This window comes from Homo sapiens, chromosome 18 (assembly GCF_000001405.40).
Source record: "Homo sapiens chromosome 18, GRCh38.p14 Primary Assembly".
Taxonomy (NCBI): Eukaryota; Metazoa; Chordata; class Mammalia; order Primates; family Hominidae; genus Homo; species Homo sapiens.
In genome coordinates this window covers 34633869-34651111 of record NC_000018.10, presented here as the reverse complement: position 1 = coordinate 34651111, position 17243 = coordinate 34633869, and the positions used below count along the sequence as shown (strand labels likewise).

The window sequence follows — 17243 nt, the reverse complement described above, 5'->3', positions numbered from 1 at the left end:
AGACAGACTACAAAAATATGGGGCATTCTGTTTGCGAAAAGAAGACGTAAAGTCTAGAAAGCTTTGAATGGTCTGGAAAAGATGACAATGAGCTTATCCACTAGAAATCTATTGTTGTTTCAAGAGGTAAGTGTAAGATCAATAAAAGGGTGTACTACTAATATTAGTAGGATTGGGTTGAAAATAGAAAATAATTTTTAAACATTCAAATGATTCAGGGTAGTAGAACTATAATAAATTACTAATGTACATGAAGAATTAGAGGTAAATTCTTAATCTGACAGTAAAAAGAATAACTATATTCTGTATTAACACATATCCTAGTACTACTATAATAGAAAAAGTGTGGTTTTAGCAGGACAAAGGGTCTGATTCAGTGCACTAATTTTATGTTATTTACTAATATTAGGACAGAACATCCAATTGCAGCAGCTTTGCCTTCTGGGCCTAGTATAGTGTCTGTCTCTAAGCTCAATAAATGTTTATTGAATGCTAACAGAGTGCCTGAAGGTGCCACAGGCTAAGAAACTGAATTTTCATTCTATTTTGAGGTAGAGATACTGGCTTCAAATTCAAACGATGATTAACAGTGTCGAAAAAGGAAAGGATCTAATTTCCACCATTACTATAAAAAGACTGTGTCTCAAAAGGAGAAGTAGGAACAAAGCAGATGTTTACAAGTAGGAAAAACACACAAACATGCACATGCACACACACACTCACACTCACATATTTCTTTCACTATTTACAGTTGATTCATGTATCTGGAACTTCATCCTTGAAATAAAATGAAGAGTTCATCTGACTCATGGTCTTTCTGCTTGTAGTTCTTATTTAGTGTTTTGGCAGTAAATCCAGATGCTTGGAAGGTCAACGTTTTGTCTTCAAACACTTGGCTTTCAGGAAGTGAAGATTTTCAGGTGCCAGGTGCCAGAAAGCAGTGTAATCAGAGATCTGCTTGGCTGATCCGTGCAACGGAGAAACTTGAAACAAATTTAAGTCTTTTGACTCTCAAGTTCTCCTGTGCAAAGGACTTTATCCAAGACTTCAGTTTTTTTTTTTCTTTTGCTAGGTTGTGAACTACCACTTTTGGAATAAGTGAAATACCTGCCAGGAATTACAATTCACAGCTTGGAATTTGAAGGCAAACACATGTCATTTTTATATTATTATCCTACAACCACATACAAACTGAAGTCAGAGCAACAAAGTGAATTTACAAGTTTCCCTCAATTTCCTATGCTTTGGATCACGTATAGCATAATCTTGAAGTGAGGTGGCTATGTGACAGGAAAAAGCAATGGAAAATAAAGAAATAATTTTAAAAGATCTTTGAAAAAATCTTAAAACAGAATGTAGGTAAAAGTTAATCTGGAGTAGATATCAAAAAGAAAGTGAAGGATATCCCAATAGACATGAAATGAAAAAATGAGGTTATAAACATTAATGTGTTTGGCAGAAACAACCAAAAGTTTTTTCTGTAGAAATCATAATTCCCTCAATTTTTTTCTCCAGAATGCAAATAAGCATTTAATTTAATCCAACAACTTGTAGCTCAAAATAGTGCCTTTTGGATGAAAATTATTCAAATAAATTATTTAAAATTGCAATAACATTTAACACATGTAAATGCTATTGCCAGAAGAGTCACAGAAATGAGGCTCTATCTTTAGGTTGAGGGAGGGAACCTACCAGAAGTATTTCACTGATCGTGGGTATAACGTCCCCACAGGAAATTCACCAGTCCCTCACAGCATTCTTACTTGTGCAATAGCAGCCGTTTTGCAGATATATCAATCCCAAGATCATAATCTTCTTTTGTGCACGTCATCTTAAAAGCTGACTTATAAACATTGAAATAGCTCTCTCAATACCTCTGGGAAATCACTATAATGTCCATTTCAAGATGATAAATACAGACAGAGATAAGTTTGTAACCCAAGAATGAATGGGGAGAGAGAGGAGAGCAGAATGGAATGCAAAAACATCAAATTTCCAGCCTTCTGTACACAGTGTTCTTATCTCCAAAAAAACATTCTAATAAACACCTGAATCATTAGAATGGTCTCCGAAAGAGCAGAACACTGGCTTCAATTAACACTATTAGAATATTTGAATTACTTCCTAAAACATTAAATTGAAAAATGAGAACCAACAGTACCACATTAGAAAAATATTAAAGATTGTCCAAAATTTACCTTTTAACAAAAATATTTTAAAGTTAATGTGTGTGGGCACTTAAAAATACATTTGCACATACACATGCACACATACAAAATTCTTCACTGTGATTATGCAACTTACCTAATCTATTTCTTGAAGACAAAGGGAAACAGAAATACAATATAACTTGGAACAAGTTTTGAAGAATCCCAGTAATCTAGCCTAAGTTTAAATGCTTGCTATTTGACTGATTTTTGAAAAATCTTGAGAGTCGGAACAAAGCTTCTAAAAGAATCTGAATAAAGCAACACTAACTGTCTTGAAAGGTCTACTTTTAGTGGCAGCAGTCATTTTAATGGCATCTCTAAAGAGAATAATGACAAACAGAGCCAGAGGACTTTATTGCTGTATTTACCCATCTACTCCAATTTCCCTTTATCTACAAAATGTATTTCAAATCCGTCTATCTGCTGTGCTTCCACCTTGTTTTAAACCACTGCACTGATTTAGGTATCCTATTTGGATGATTTCCAATAGTCTCCCAACTAGTCAAACTTACTGCTTCTACTCTTACCCCACCTCAACCTACTCTTCACAGAAAGCCAGCATGATCTTTTAAAATGAAAATATAATCACATCACCCCCTTTCCTTCCTTATACTTTTCATCGTGACTGTGGAAAGACCAAAAGGCTAGACATACGTTATAAACCTTGCCTGATACAGCCCTTGCCTATTTTTTTAGCCTCACTTCTGCCATTACCACTCAGACCCTCTGGGGTCTTATAACTCTGGCCGTTTTCCAGCTCCTCAAATGTATTAATCTCTTCCCAACTCAGATGCTTTAATATGCTGTTCCCTCTTCCTGAAAAATGTTGTCCACCACACAACTCTTCTTTTTGCTAACTCCTAGTCAGCCTTTATGTTTTAATGTCAATATTATTTCCTCAGAAAGACCTTCCCTGATTGCCAAACTAATTTAGATTCCCCTACTGCTTTCTTTTACAGCAACTATTTTTCCCCCTCATATATTTTCATTCATTCATCCATGGAGGTAGGCATGCATTAATTCAACAACTATTGCTGAGCACCTACTGTGCACTAAGCACTGTTGTAAGTGCCAGAGAGGCATGTTCCAAGCTCTTTTAGAGCCTATATTAGCTGAAAATTGTAATGATATATTTATTTGTGTGTTGACTTAATGTCTTTTCTTTAAGACTGTCAGCTTTATGAGACCAAATCATACAAAAGGCAGAGGTCAGAACTTGCTAAATTTTTCATAATTCCTTAGTGACAGAGGTAGCCCTAGAAGCCAGTCCAAAATAGCTGAGTGCCTTCCTCATTTTTAGGAACATATGGAACGGTAGGTGTGGCAAAGACCACTGACTGTTCTCCTCTTCCTGGCACGCAGCTCTACTACATTTCCCAGACTCCTTTGCAGTGAAGTCATGTGGTTAAGTTGTAGCCAATGGGCTGTGAACAAAGGTGATACGAGGTACTTCTAGGCGCCTGCTCCTGTAAAGCTGCCCTTTTTCTATGCCATTTTTCCCCCTACTGGTGGCTAGAATCTGAGGAATTCTGTGGTCCAAGAGGTTGGCTGAGCTTTGAGATGAAATGGGCCTGGTTCTGTGAATCATCACATAGAGGAAAGCCACCTGCTGATCAGGACCACCCATCCTGGACTGGTAGGTGGAGACATTTCAGGATTTGTCATATCACCTAATTTATTATACATGTGGCTTTTCTAATAATGTAAAAATTTAAGGATCTTAGCCAAAGTGGCTACCCGTGTGTTATTCTCATTTTGAATCCTGAGAGTGCTTCCTAAAGAGGAACCATTGGACAGGTACCCTGGTACTCACATTCACTCAAATGAAAACATGGGTCTATCTCACTTCCTCTCAGAAGGCTGTGAGCCTCTTAAGAATAACAAAACTGGCCAGGCGCGGTGGCTCACACCTGTAATCCCAGCACTTTGGGAGGCCGAGGTGGGTGGATCACGAGGTCAAGAGATCGAGACCATCTTAGCCAACATGGAGAAACCCCGTCTCTACGAAAAATACAAAAATTAGCTGGGCATGGTGGCGCATGCCTGTAATCCCAGTGACTCAGGAGGCTGAGGCAGGAGAATTGCTTGAATCCGGGAGGCGGAGGTTGCAGGGTCGCAGTGAGCCAAGATCGCGCCACTGCACTCCAGTCTGGTGACAGGGCAAGACTCCATCTCAAAAAATAAATAAATAAATAAAGTAATAAGAATAATAAAACTAGTAGCTTCAGATGGAGATTTGTAAAGAAGAATAAATCATTTGAATACGTGGTCTGTGCTTTAAAAAATTTGTAGCACTGTATTTGGTACTTCCGATGTCATATTGCTTCTAAAATAATCTGTAATGTACAGTTTATATGAGGCATTGACTTGTGGCAAATCAAGTAAAGTTAAAAGTGGTGATTATTACTCTGGTAAATTCACATCATTTACTTAATAGCTCAAAATGACTTTTAGACATTAAATATAATCAGCACTGGATGTAAAATATGCCCTTTTTCACAATAAAATGTAAAATATAACAGATATGGTTTCTTATTGTTTGTATGAGCTGTATCGTCCTAATTTTAAAACTACCAAGTTAAAATGCTTACATCTAGAAAATAAGTTTATTGCCATTTCTTAACATGAATTTTTTTTTAGTTTATTATAAACAAAAGACAGGAATTTAAGTAATGTGTCCAGTTTTTCACTGTGATTTTCATCATCTAATGAGAGATGTTGTATTGTCATTTGTTTATTCTGAAGTAACTGTCAAGATGACCTTTTAAAATATTGATTTAAAGGGTATAGCTTACTGAAAAGGCAGGAAGCACAATCAGACATTTCTTAAAATACTGAACCATAAAAAGAATACCAGCTAAGAGAGTACATATGCAGTCAGTGCAGTTCAGATGATCACATCCCATGCAGTTAGAAGGATAAATAGGAGGGGACCAGGATGTATGTCTTTACCTCTGTTTCTTGATTTCTAGATTAGATTAGGAGAATAGGTGATGGAGATGTACCAAGAGGAAAATATTAATAAGCAAGACCCAATTTTTTCAAAAAATGGTTAAAAAACTAGAAAACGAGTTAAAGAGTGGAAAATATGTAAGCCAGCTTCTAAAGTCAATACAGCTGAGAAAGCATCTGACTTACTTTTTTTCTTCTCTTACAGAGTTCTAGAAAAGACGTTGCAGGAAACTGAAGAGACTCCCTATTTACTTCAATAATATTCATAGGGTGTGCTTGTTCAAAATTCTGATCAAGGAACCCCTCTCCATTTCATCCACCTGTGAGTGTAGTGTATACACACCATCTGTATTACCAGAGCCCTTCTTGAGATTTATTCTCTATCTTCTATATGGATTTATACATATCTGTAGGTTTTTCTATGAATCGAGATATCTAGAATGGAAAGGAATACTACTAAAGTTAATATTCCTTCAACAAAGCCTAAATTTTCCTCTTCCCTTAGTCAATAGTAATTCTCCATTACCTGCCCACATTACAAGGTGGGACGAATAACATTCTCAGCTTTTGCCAACTTCATGAACAGGCTCAAAAACCCATACAAAAATCTTATTAATAATAAGTAACACTGCCCTAGTGGGTATATGCAGGTTTCACTATAAGTGTTTAATATTGAGGATAATGAGCACCTTTAAAATCACACTATTTATTTAACAAAGTCCTCCACCTAGCATGAAAATTGCCAAAGGTTTTCCAGAATCAGAATAGACAGGCTGGAGCCTGACTTTGTGAAAATCCTTATTCCTAAGATGACAACAACTACATTATGTTGAAAAGCTATGGAGTGAAAAAATGACCTTGAGAAACTTAGGAAAACATTGAGTTTTCTTCCAGTGTTAAAGTGATCATTACGATCATTATTAAAGATTCAGTTTGTCGTTACCTTACAAATGTGCACTAAGGACTCCTAAAGGGCAACAATTGAAAGCATGAATTCACTATTTTGAAAATAAATTCAAATACTTAGTATACATTAAAATATTTTCTTCAGTACAGGGAACATTAGAAAGAATGTGATGAGCTGTTTAGAATATTATGTCGTCTTTTCATATTTATTGTAATAATGGATTCATTGTGCAAAGGTCTCAACATTCTGGCAGGCTGCAGCAATACTAGGAAACGCTAATGCCAGTTACATTTTATATCCATATTAGGCTGAAGGAAAAAGACTGGTTGAAATGAACTAAAAAATATGTTCTTCTTTTGCTCAAAAAATTTTTTAAGCCTCAGTGCTGTTCTTTTCAGATTATAAAGTGAGGTGCCAAATTGTATATTTCTCAGATATTCTTGATGATTAAAAATATACAAATCAACAGTGACTAACCCAAACTTGTAACTCAAAAATAGAGATGTTTAAGTGACTACAAATCCTTGGAGAGCCTTTTGACTCCCTAGTAAGATTTAAATGTTTTAATGTCTGTAATCCCAGAAAGCCTTTTAAACTAATGAGTGTGTTTAAACTGGAATCTTTTAAAAGTTATTTTACTAGCTGCTATGCAATTTTATTCTCTATGTACCTCAACTAATAAACATAAACATTACAAGTAGTCATAAATAATTAACATTCACAAAAACATCCTCTTGATGATAATACAGTCGACTCCTACATGTTCCATGAATTATTCAGTTTTGTGGCTTTTTGGCTATCTCCTTTATTTCTGCAGTTTCACTCTCTCTATATGTACTTCCACTACTTACTAAGAATTCCACTAGAGGGTGAATAGGACAATAAAAGGATATAAGTGGGCCACGATCTGGTGAGGGAAGCTTGAAACTACTTACTCAAAAGAGATTTAGCTTATTTTTTTTATTTAAAATATCAATGTTATTCCCATTTTCTATTATCCCTCACAATTACATTGGCCATGATAAGAGTGATAGATAATTTAGAGAGAACAACATAATATACAGCTGAAGAAAAATGTAATTTTTGATGAATTATACAGTTTTGTTCTAGCCGGGTAGATCTAGATTATATTATATAGCAGGAGCTTATAATTTTATAGGTATAAAAGATGATGCTTAATAATGTATGGATATTTAACAAATCATGTAATTAAGGAATATACAATCTGATTGCTGTGAATTACATAATGATAATTTTATTAAGATTTCATGTTGGCATCTACCCTCAAAATGTGGAGCAGAAAACATAATCTCAGCTTTTAAAAAAGGCAGTTTCTATCATATAATCTGAAATATGTTTAAGGTTAAAATTGGGATACTGGTCAGATGCTTCTGACCAAGAGCCTAGACAAGGAAACTGGATCTTGGGATTTTGTTGCCAACATTTCTGGTTTACCCAATGAATATATTCTCAAAACACCTGCAGAGAATAATAAAGAATAAACAGATTTCCTGAAAATCATGAAATATGTGGAATTGAAGGTAAAATCAGAAACAGGCTAATTAACACATTGCTTATGATTCTTTTGTCATATTGTGTTTAAGCCCAGGAACTGGGGATAGGCTGCTGCCATAATTTAAGAGTGATTCTTGTAGACTCTTATCACAAAATAAGAATGTGCTAATGCAAATCACATACTTTTTAATGAGTGTTAATTTTGAAAGTTAAACTAACATCATGCATTCTTCTTTTATTAAGATTTCAAAATATTTGGGTATGTGCTTTACCACCATGGCTAAGAACCCATGGGCTCTAATTATAATTAAAAGCAGCAATGGTTAACACAGGAGAGGCCCTGAGGAACCAAGAGCCATGACACATCTTGCCACTCTTAGGTACAAAGTCACTGTACCCACTAAAGACTGGCCATGTCTCCAGAATGTTACCAGAAATAGTCGTCAAATTCCTTTTTTTTGTTTGTTTCCAGTTATACCTAATACTCAGAGATGTTTGCAGTAGCCTGCTGCTAAGTTATGGCATGCTAGTTACTCACATGAATTCCAGGTAGTGTTAGTTTGGGACAGGGCAGTGCTGCTGTGACATTTCTGGGAGGGTCTGAATTTCTGTAAGCAGAGAGATTTCACACTGGAGCCAAGGCAGCATGATTCCCTGAGAAAGCCAGTCTGGGCCAGGTGCGGTGGCTCACGCCTGTAATCCCAGCACTTTGGGAGGTCGAGGTGGACAGATCATGAGGTCAAGAGATCGAGACCCCCCTAGCCAACATGGTGAAAACCCATCTCTACTAAAAATACAAAAATTAGCTGGGCGTGGTGGTGCGTGACCATAATCCCAGCTACTCGGGAGGCTAAGGCAGAAGAGTTGCTTGAACCAGGGAGTCGGAGGTCGCAGTGAGCCGAGATCGCGCCACTGCATTCCAGCCTGGCAACAGAGCGAGACTCCGTTGAAAGAAAAGAAAGAAAAGAAAGAAAGAAAGAAGGAAGGAAGGAAAGAAAGAAGGAAAGAAGGAAAGAAAGAAAGGAAGGAAGGAAGGAAGGAAAGCAACCCAGCCTGAAGTAAAGTGGAATGTGAAAGTTGTTCTCCTCTACCAAGGTAGTAAGATTGGGTAGTAAGATGGCATTCAAGAGCCTTAAGTAGTAAAGAAAAGTACTCTTCCTCAAATCAGTGGGCTCCTTCTAAAGCCCAGATAATCCCAACATGAAGGGTGGGAGTTTCTCAGAGACACCCAGCTTCCAGTTGGGCAACCTTTAAGGGGGGACCCCAGTGCAGCTCCCAAGTGCCTTAATTCTTGTCATCCTGATGCCACATTCAATTTGGCTCTAGGATGCCCTAGAGGGTTCCCAGAATGCCTCAGTGGCTTCTCACAGACTCTCTGCTGCTTTGGGAAGAATGTGGTGAGTCCTCATTAGCAAGCTTCTGCCTACTGTAGCAGTACCTCATATCCAGTGAATAATCAATGTATATTAATTGAAAGGCAGCTATAAAGTAGTTAAACAAGTTCTGAATATAGTACAATCCTTATATAATAATGGTGCTGGGAAGGATATTAATGCCTATTTGGTGGGTTATGCTGTGCCATAACTGTTCTATGTGACTGTTTTTCAGGGATTACTTTTAAACTCTTGGCATACATGAAAGTCAGCACGCATGTAACTTAATTTATGAAACTCAGCTCTCTGGCAAACAATGCTTTCTATCCTTGCTCTCTATCTCTCTCCACCACTCAACTCCAAGCTGAAGTCCTTATATCAACTTATTTACATTAAAATAAAATAAAGAACCAAATGGAGAATTCCCCAGCTCTGTTTATGCCTGAAACACAATGTTTGGTTATCTGGGCCTCAATTTGAGACGCAATGATATTCAATAGGAGGGATAGGTTGAATCCAGGGATTGGAGGAACTCCTCCAGAAAAGAATCTCATACTATAAGTGGATAGATTGATTAAATGAATTATTGATATTGTTCCACCTGGATAAAAGAAGATTCAAGAAAAGTATGATTGTTGTCAAATATTTAAGGGGCTGTCATAGGAAGAGAGACTAGGCCTGATCGGCCAGGTTCCAGAGGGGGAAGGTTTAGCCTGGGTAAACGGAATAAGTCTGTAATATTCAGAGTTGCTGTGAAACATCTGGGGCTGCTGTGATCAGTGGCCAGTTCCCAGTGCTGGAGAGGAGAAATTTCCAGTATTAAACTAAATCAATCATATGCTTCACTGATAACACAGTACATAGACATTATTCATTAAATGCTAGTTATCACATTATTAATAGTTATAATTATTTTTAGGCATGGGATTTGGTAAGTCACTAATAAGTTCTTGTAGATCTTTGAGATTCTATGATTCAATAGATAGTTAAGATTATTATCTGTCTTACCCTTATATTCATATATTATCTACTCTGTTCTAGAAATATTCTAGATAGATTTTTATTTTAATATTTATTTTTACTAGTAGCAACATTTATTATAAAATAGCACATCCGTTATTTGATTAATAATAAAGTCTTTACCCCAAGTTTATAGATATGTAAATTGATGATACCTGGTAAAATTCAAATGCCTTCCCCTCCCAAAAAAGCAAACAACAACAAACCAACCCAACAACAACATCCGCCACTGCCAATTAGTCCTTTCTATGCAATGAAAAGCAGCTAGAAGGCCATAAGAAAAAAACAAACCTTTGCTTTTAGAATAAACTTTTAAACTTTAACATGAAAATAGGGAACTAGCCAGTTCTGGGGTAGGCTAGATCAAGGCTGGAAGGAATATAAACTTCAAATTGGTTTTTAAAGATGAAGCAAACAATTTAGCTGGGCTTAGGTTCAAATCATGGGAGACATTCTAGGCAGTTGGTTAAAGCATAGCACCCAATAGCAAGAGGCCTAGAAAGATTGGTAGGACTATCAAGGGGTATCTGTACCTAGCATGTGGTCTGAATTACAGTTGCATTCCATAAATGTCTATAGGATGAATGAACAAATAAGTGAACGAATGAATGTCTGTGATTGGCACTGGAGGTCCTTGCCATGGGCATTAGGTATTTTTGCTGACAATGCAGTTCCTATAAGAATAGAGAAAGAGGGTAGGAAGGACAACAAGGGTCAGCTATTGGACCTGGAGCATCAATACAGAGTAAAGCCAGAAGGACAATTGTCTACAGACCAATGAGGGAGAATTGTTAATCTATGGATGCCTGTCTTTCAGCCTGAGAGTGTTGAGGAAAAGGAGACAGAACTCAGAGGAGGGACAGGCAGGCAGGGAGTCAGTCACACCATCCCATAGCTGTTGCTGAGAGAGGTAATGAAATGGTCTGCAAGGTGCAAATAGGAAGCTGCTGACAAAATGGTGATAATCATATGAAAATATAAAAAGCATTATCATCTCTGATTGTCCAACTGTAGATTAACAGTCATTTCTGGCAGAGTTTGAAACTTAGATCAGGAGAAATTTGCATCAAAGGCTTTTATTGGAACTTTTGAAGTGCAATCTTTTATACCTGAAAAGATAGTTTGTTTTTCAAGTATTCACTGGGCTAGGCGAAAATAATCTCTGAACTATTATCCTAATCCCATCTCAGTAAATCTCAGGGAAATGTGTCCAAATAAAAACAGAACAGAAGGTGATGTTGCAACTTCTGCTGTTGTTATCTGCCAGGCTGGCAGCTGAGCTTGCAGTCCCTCTTCATTTCTAAATAGAGAGAAGCACTAAGACTCCATGGGAGCAGAATAAGAATAAGGAAAATAAAGAAATAAACAAACAAAAACACTGCCACCAATTCTGAGTTTAATTTAACTTGTATTTCTTTCCTTCTGAGTCCTGGAGTAGGTCAGGAAGAGCTGTGTTTATAGCTTGAACATGAGCTATAATCGAAGTAGGCCCATAAAAGCCTTTTGCTGAAGGAGATTTTGCAGTACTATGCCACTTAATCAATTCAGAGAAGTTTAGTTTGAGCAGTGCTTTGGGGTGTGAAGAAGGCTTGGAGGTGAGGTATCTGACTATCATACTTAAATAGGCCCCTCCCTCCTGCTCTATCAATATTACCTGCAATTCTATTATTTATCCTTGTCTTCTTTTTTCAGTCCATTCATATAGAAGCTTCATGAAAGCAGGGCCCAGGCAAGAGGGTCTCAACCAGGAGCAATTTTGCTGTTTCTCTCCAGAGGACACTTGGCAATGTCTGGGGACAGTTTTGGTTGTCACAACTGGAGACAGGGTGATGCTATTTGGCATCTTGTGGGAGGAAGGCAAGGATGCTGCTAAGCATGCCACAAAGCACAGGACAGCTGCCCACAACAAAGGATGATTTGCCTGAAATGTCAATGTGAAGAGGCTGACAATCTCTGGTCTAAGGTGTATCAGTAGTACCTAAAATAATGCCTGGGGCCAGGAGCAGTGGCTCACGCCTATAATCCCAACACTCTGGGAGGCCGAGGCAGGTGGATCACCTGAGGTCAGGAGTTCGAGACCAGCCTGACCAACAGGAAGAAACCCCATCTCTACTAAAAATACAAAATTAGCCGGACATGGTGGCACATGGCTGTAATCCCAGCTACTCGGGAGGCTGAGGCTGGGGAATCACTTGAACCCGGGAGGTGAAGGTTGCAGTGAGCCAAGATGATGCCATTACACTCCAGCCTGGGCAGCAAGAGCGAAACTCCACTTCAAAAAACAAAACAAACAAACAAAAACAATGCCTGGAAAACAGTAAGTGATCAATAAATACTGATGTAAAATGTGAATGTATGCTAGGATAATTACTCGAACCTATTTTCCTGAATAGTGGAATATTGCTTTCATTGTGGGCATGAGTATCATATTTTTCTAATTTATGAATTCAGCAATCAGAAATGCTTATGAATTAAGGTGATGGTAGCATGTTCCCATATAGAATATAGAAATATAGGAACCAAGATGTCCTCTGAGAATTAAACTGTAAATCAACACATAATGAAGTGAGCTAGAGTATGCAAAGTCCCTTTAGGAAGATAAAGAATGATGCCTAGGCAGGTCACACTTGAGTGTCAGTGTAGGGTACCAACCAGAAACATGGTTGGTGGAGTTAGACTGCCTAGATTCCAATCTCAGCTCTGCCCTTTTCCAGACAGGTAAATTAGTTAAATATCGTATCTCAGTTTCCTCTTCTATAACACGGAAATAATTATAGCACTTGTCACAGATTGCTGTGAGGAGTAAAGGAAATAATGTATTTTAAAAATTTATTAAATGTAATGCCTAGTGCACAGTGAGCACTCAGTAAATATTAACCATTAGTGACAAGACTTAACAATAATTCCACTTAGGGTATTTGGATACCTAAGAGAATAAAGTGTTCATCAGAAGCATAGAAAAGGCAAGCATCAGAAAGGGGATTAATACTTGCTCTCCTAACTTATGCCAAGCATTTTATTATGTGATCCGTATCCATTACTTCATTTAATTTCTAGCTAAAGGAGGCTACGTAGTAATCAAAGGACAGACAACGATAAGAAGTAATGCTGAGATGCCTGGGACCTATCTGACAATGGACAAGCCTCACTCTTTCCAATGTGAAGAGGAGATGCCCAGGCAAAAATGACAATGACAAGTTCACATGGAAAAGACTGTAATGACAAATTTACCTTTGCTATTGAAATATATGCTTAGCTCAGTGCTCTCAAATATTTGAGTGACCCAGCTAATTGGCCTTATTCTGACTGAATCTTAAGAAACTCCCTGGTTCTATTTCCCTTTCTATGGAGAGTATCCTTGTAACACTTACATTTATCACTACAGAATTTAATAAACTGCTTTGGGGTTTCATAAGCTGGGATAATACAAATGTACCTCTGAGAAAGAACTGTGTCTGTCTCTGCCCCAAATCAATAGGTCCAGGTCCTGCACTCTAACGCTCAGAGGAAATGCTGCTAGATGCCAGACTGTGGTGGTGAGGGTGACAGTGCTTTGTGGAGTGGGGACTAAGAGCTAAGCAAATTTTTAGCCTAATAGTATCTGAGAGCCAAACGGAATAGGCTTTAATTAACTAACTTGCCATATTTACACATGTAAGAAATTCACTCATTTATATATATTCTCCTTTTGGGTACTTTCCCATCCAGTTCTGGGGAAGAAATAGATATATTTTTCCCATAATTTTCCCATTTGGGCAGCATGTTTCAGGCAGCAACAGTGGCTTTACACTTCTGAAGGATCTGATAAGAACTGTGAAGGGGGCAATGAACTGCACTTAATTAAATCCTGGTTGCTAAAAGTAAATAGCAGAGTATGCCACTGACAGCAACAGACTGGCCCTGAAACAAATTATATGTAGGGCTGAAGATATACCTAGTTTCTTTGCTCTTGGCACAACATTAGGACATAATTCCATCCATTTCCTTTCTCTTGGAACAATTAGGGAGCAAATATCAGCAATTACGCAAGCAAGGTATTATATAAGTACAGCATTTATTTATTTAGAAACTCAGCCTTTTTGGAGGGTATTAAGCAACTGGCAGGTGCCAACAATTTTATTCTCTCTTCTCTGGGGTCCTTTCAGAAGAAATACCCTGGAAGTTCCAATCAATGACAGAGTCTCCTATTAAGCATCCATTGAGCATCAATATCTCCTACAGCATTTCAAAACTGTCAGCAAACAGATTACTAAATTCATTTTAACCAACACCTATTATCTGAATTTTATTCTGAATATTCTTACGGCATAGTCACAATTTTGGATTCTGTAACTCAATGACCTAAAAGCTGTAGGTCAGAAGGGAGATGCTTTAAAATAAGACAAAACAAGGCAAACTTAGAAAGAAGCATTCTGTATGGTTCTGTTCCTCAAAGGGTGATCCATGGGCTCCTGGGAGACCCTGAGACTCTTTCAGGGTATCCATAAAATCAATACACTCTTCATCATAATGCTAACATGTTACCAGCTTTATTCACTGTGTTACCATTTGCACTGATGGTGCAAGAACAATGATGAGTAAAACTTTCAGCACCTCCACAAGAATTGAGAGAGTTCTCTCAGACTTCACTAGTAATTTTTAACTACAGGTTTTTTAAAAGTTTGTTTTACTTCAGGGTGTCCTTGATGAAACATTAAAAATTACTAATTTTCAGCCCAGCACTGTGGGATTACAGTTTATGCCTGTAATCCTAGCACTTTGGGAGGCCGAGGCAGGAGGATCACTTGAGGTCAGGAGTTCGAGACCAGCCTGATCAATGTGGTGAAACCCTGTCTCTACTAAAAATACAAAAATTAACTGGGCATGGTGGCTGAGGCAGGAGAATTGCTTGAACCCCGCAGGTGGAGGCTGCAGTGAGCTGAGATCATGCCGCTGCACTCCAGCCTGGGTGACAGAGTGAGACTTTGTCTCAAAAAAAATTAATTTTCTTAAATATCACCCTCAAATATATGTCTTTTTAACATTTTGTGTGATGAAATGGAAAGTATACATAAAGACTTGCTGCACACTGAAGAATATATTGTGTGCACACACGTGAAACATCTGTGCAACTGATTGTGAGCTAGGCTACATGTGTTTTTGTGGAACATCATTTTAAGTGAAAGAAGACTGACAGACAAACTATGGTTATTCAATCTTGGATATTTCACAGGTTTTTTTTTTTAATTGAAAAAAAAGAATTAAGCTGTCACTTCAAGTAAAACAAATGACAGTATTTGTTGCCAGTGATAAAATTGGAGCTTTCTAGCAAAAATTAGAATTTTGGAAAACTTGCCTTTGTCTCCATGAGCATGACAGCTTCCCAGTACCTAAAAGACTTTTGATTGAGATAAAAGATTGGTGAGATCAATGGTTATATTAACAAAATTCGTGTTTTTGTTATCGTTAAGTAAAATGGGTCAATATTTGGAAGGCCTACGTAAGATCTGTAAACCAATATCCTCCAAATGATCAATGCATGATGTTATAAAATCATACCTAAGTTAAGGATATATATGAAGTATGAGACAGATAATGGATTTTAATGTAATAAATTATGCAAAGTTTATTAATATGATTTAAGATTCTACACTGCAACTCACCTTTAAGAAACAATCACATGTTCAATGTAAGCTAGTACAGCTGTTATGAAAAACAGTGTGGAGGTTCCTATTAAATATAGAACTGCCATATGATCCAGCAATCCCACTAGTGGGTATTTATTCAAAGGAAATGAAATCTGTAGGTCAAAGAAATATCTGCATTCCCATATTAATTGCAGCATTATTTAAAACAGTTAAGATGGGGAATTAACCTAAGTGCACATCCACAGATAAGGGGATTAAAAGTGTGTCATATATACACAATAGAATACTATTCAGCCTTTAAAAAGAAGGAAATCTTGTCATTTGCAACAACATGGATGAACCTGAGGGACATTATACTAAGTGAAATAAGCCAGGCCCAGAGAGACAAATACCACATGATCTCAAATGTGGAATCTAAAAAAGTTTAATTCACAGAAATGTAGAATAGAATGGTGGTTAGCAGAGGTTAGGGTGGGGAGTGGGGGGATATTGGTTGAAGGATACATTTCAGTTAGGAGGAATAAATCATAATGCTAACATGTTACCAGATTTATTCACTGTGTTACCATTTGCACTGATGATGCAAGAATAATGGTGAGTAAAATTTTCAGCACAACGCAGTGACTATAGTTAATAACAATGTATTGTATTCTCGAAAATTGCTAAGATAATAGATTTTAAGTGTTTTCACTACAAAAAAGGAGGTAGTGCATATGTTAGCTCAATTTAGCCATTCCACAATGTCTACATATTTCAAAACAACATTTTGTATATAGTATACAATTTATATTTGTTAATTAAATTTTTTTTAAAAGAAACAACCACTTTTTGAGTTTAGGTGCTATATAAAAGAATATCCACAATTTTCTGAAAAGGCTATGAAAATGCTCTTGCCTTTTCTGACTACATATATGTGTGAGACTGGATTTTCTTCACATACTTCAACCAAAACAACATATTGTAACAGATCAAATGCAGAAGCAATTACGAGAATTCAACAGTTCTTTATTAAGCCAGACGTTAAAGAGATTTGCAAAAATGTGAAAACATGCTGTCTTTCTTACTAAATTTTTGTTTATAAATTATAGTTTATTTTTAATAAAGTATGGTAATATGTAAATGGTTTGTTATTTTTGACTTAATAGGTAAGTAAAAAAATTTTAAATTTCTTAATTTTAATTTCTAAGTTGATAAATATCAACAGATGTAACCTGTACAAACGAAGTCCTTTGAATAATTTTTACAAGCTTGAAGGCCTTGGAGACTAAAAAGTTTGAGAATAGCTAACGTACAGAAATGCATTTTGGGCAAAGGAGTAAATGCTTTCGAGAAAACGTGATGAAAAATGCAACCACAGTGAATGAAAGACAAACATCTCTAGAGGTTTTATCTTCCAAATCTCAACCTCAAATCCAAAAAGTGACTTAAAATACACCAGATAGATATGCACTATGTTTTCTTTCCTTTTTGGGCTGGGGGCTTGAGGAAGCACATCTGTTTTCTCCTGTAATACTATTAACTACCAGCTATTGGTTATCTACTATGTGCTGCAAAACGTACTGTAGATTTCCCATGTTATCTCAATCCATTAAATTGATATTATTCCTACTTAAGCCCACAGAAACCAATTTTGATGATG

General features: G+C 36.9%; 1 protein-coding gene and 1 long non-coding RNA gene across 46 annotated transcripts in view; one reads left to right on the top strand and one right to left on the bottom strand.

Moving 5' to 3' along the window:
* Positions 1-17243, bottom strand: part of DTNA (dystrobrevin alpha) — a 398533-nt gene that overhangs the window by 240733 nt on the left and 140557 nt on the right. The gene's annotated exons all lie outside the window — the stretch shown is intronic.
* Positions 1058-16724, top strand: LOC124904281 (uncharacterized). The gene is made up of 2 exons (XR_007066335.1): positions 1058-3846; positions 5368-16724. It is a non-coding gene; the product is annotated as an uncharacterized LOC124904281 (long non-coding RNA).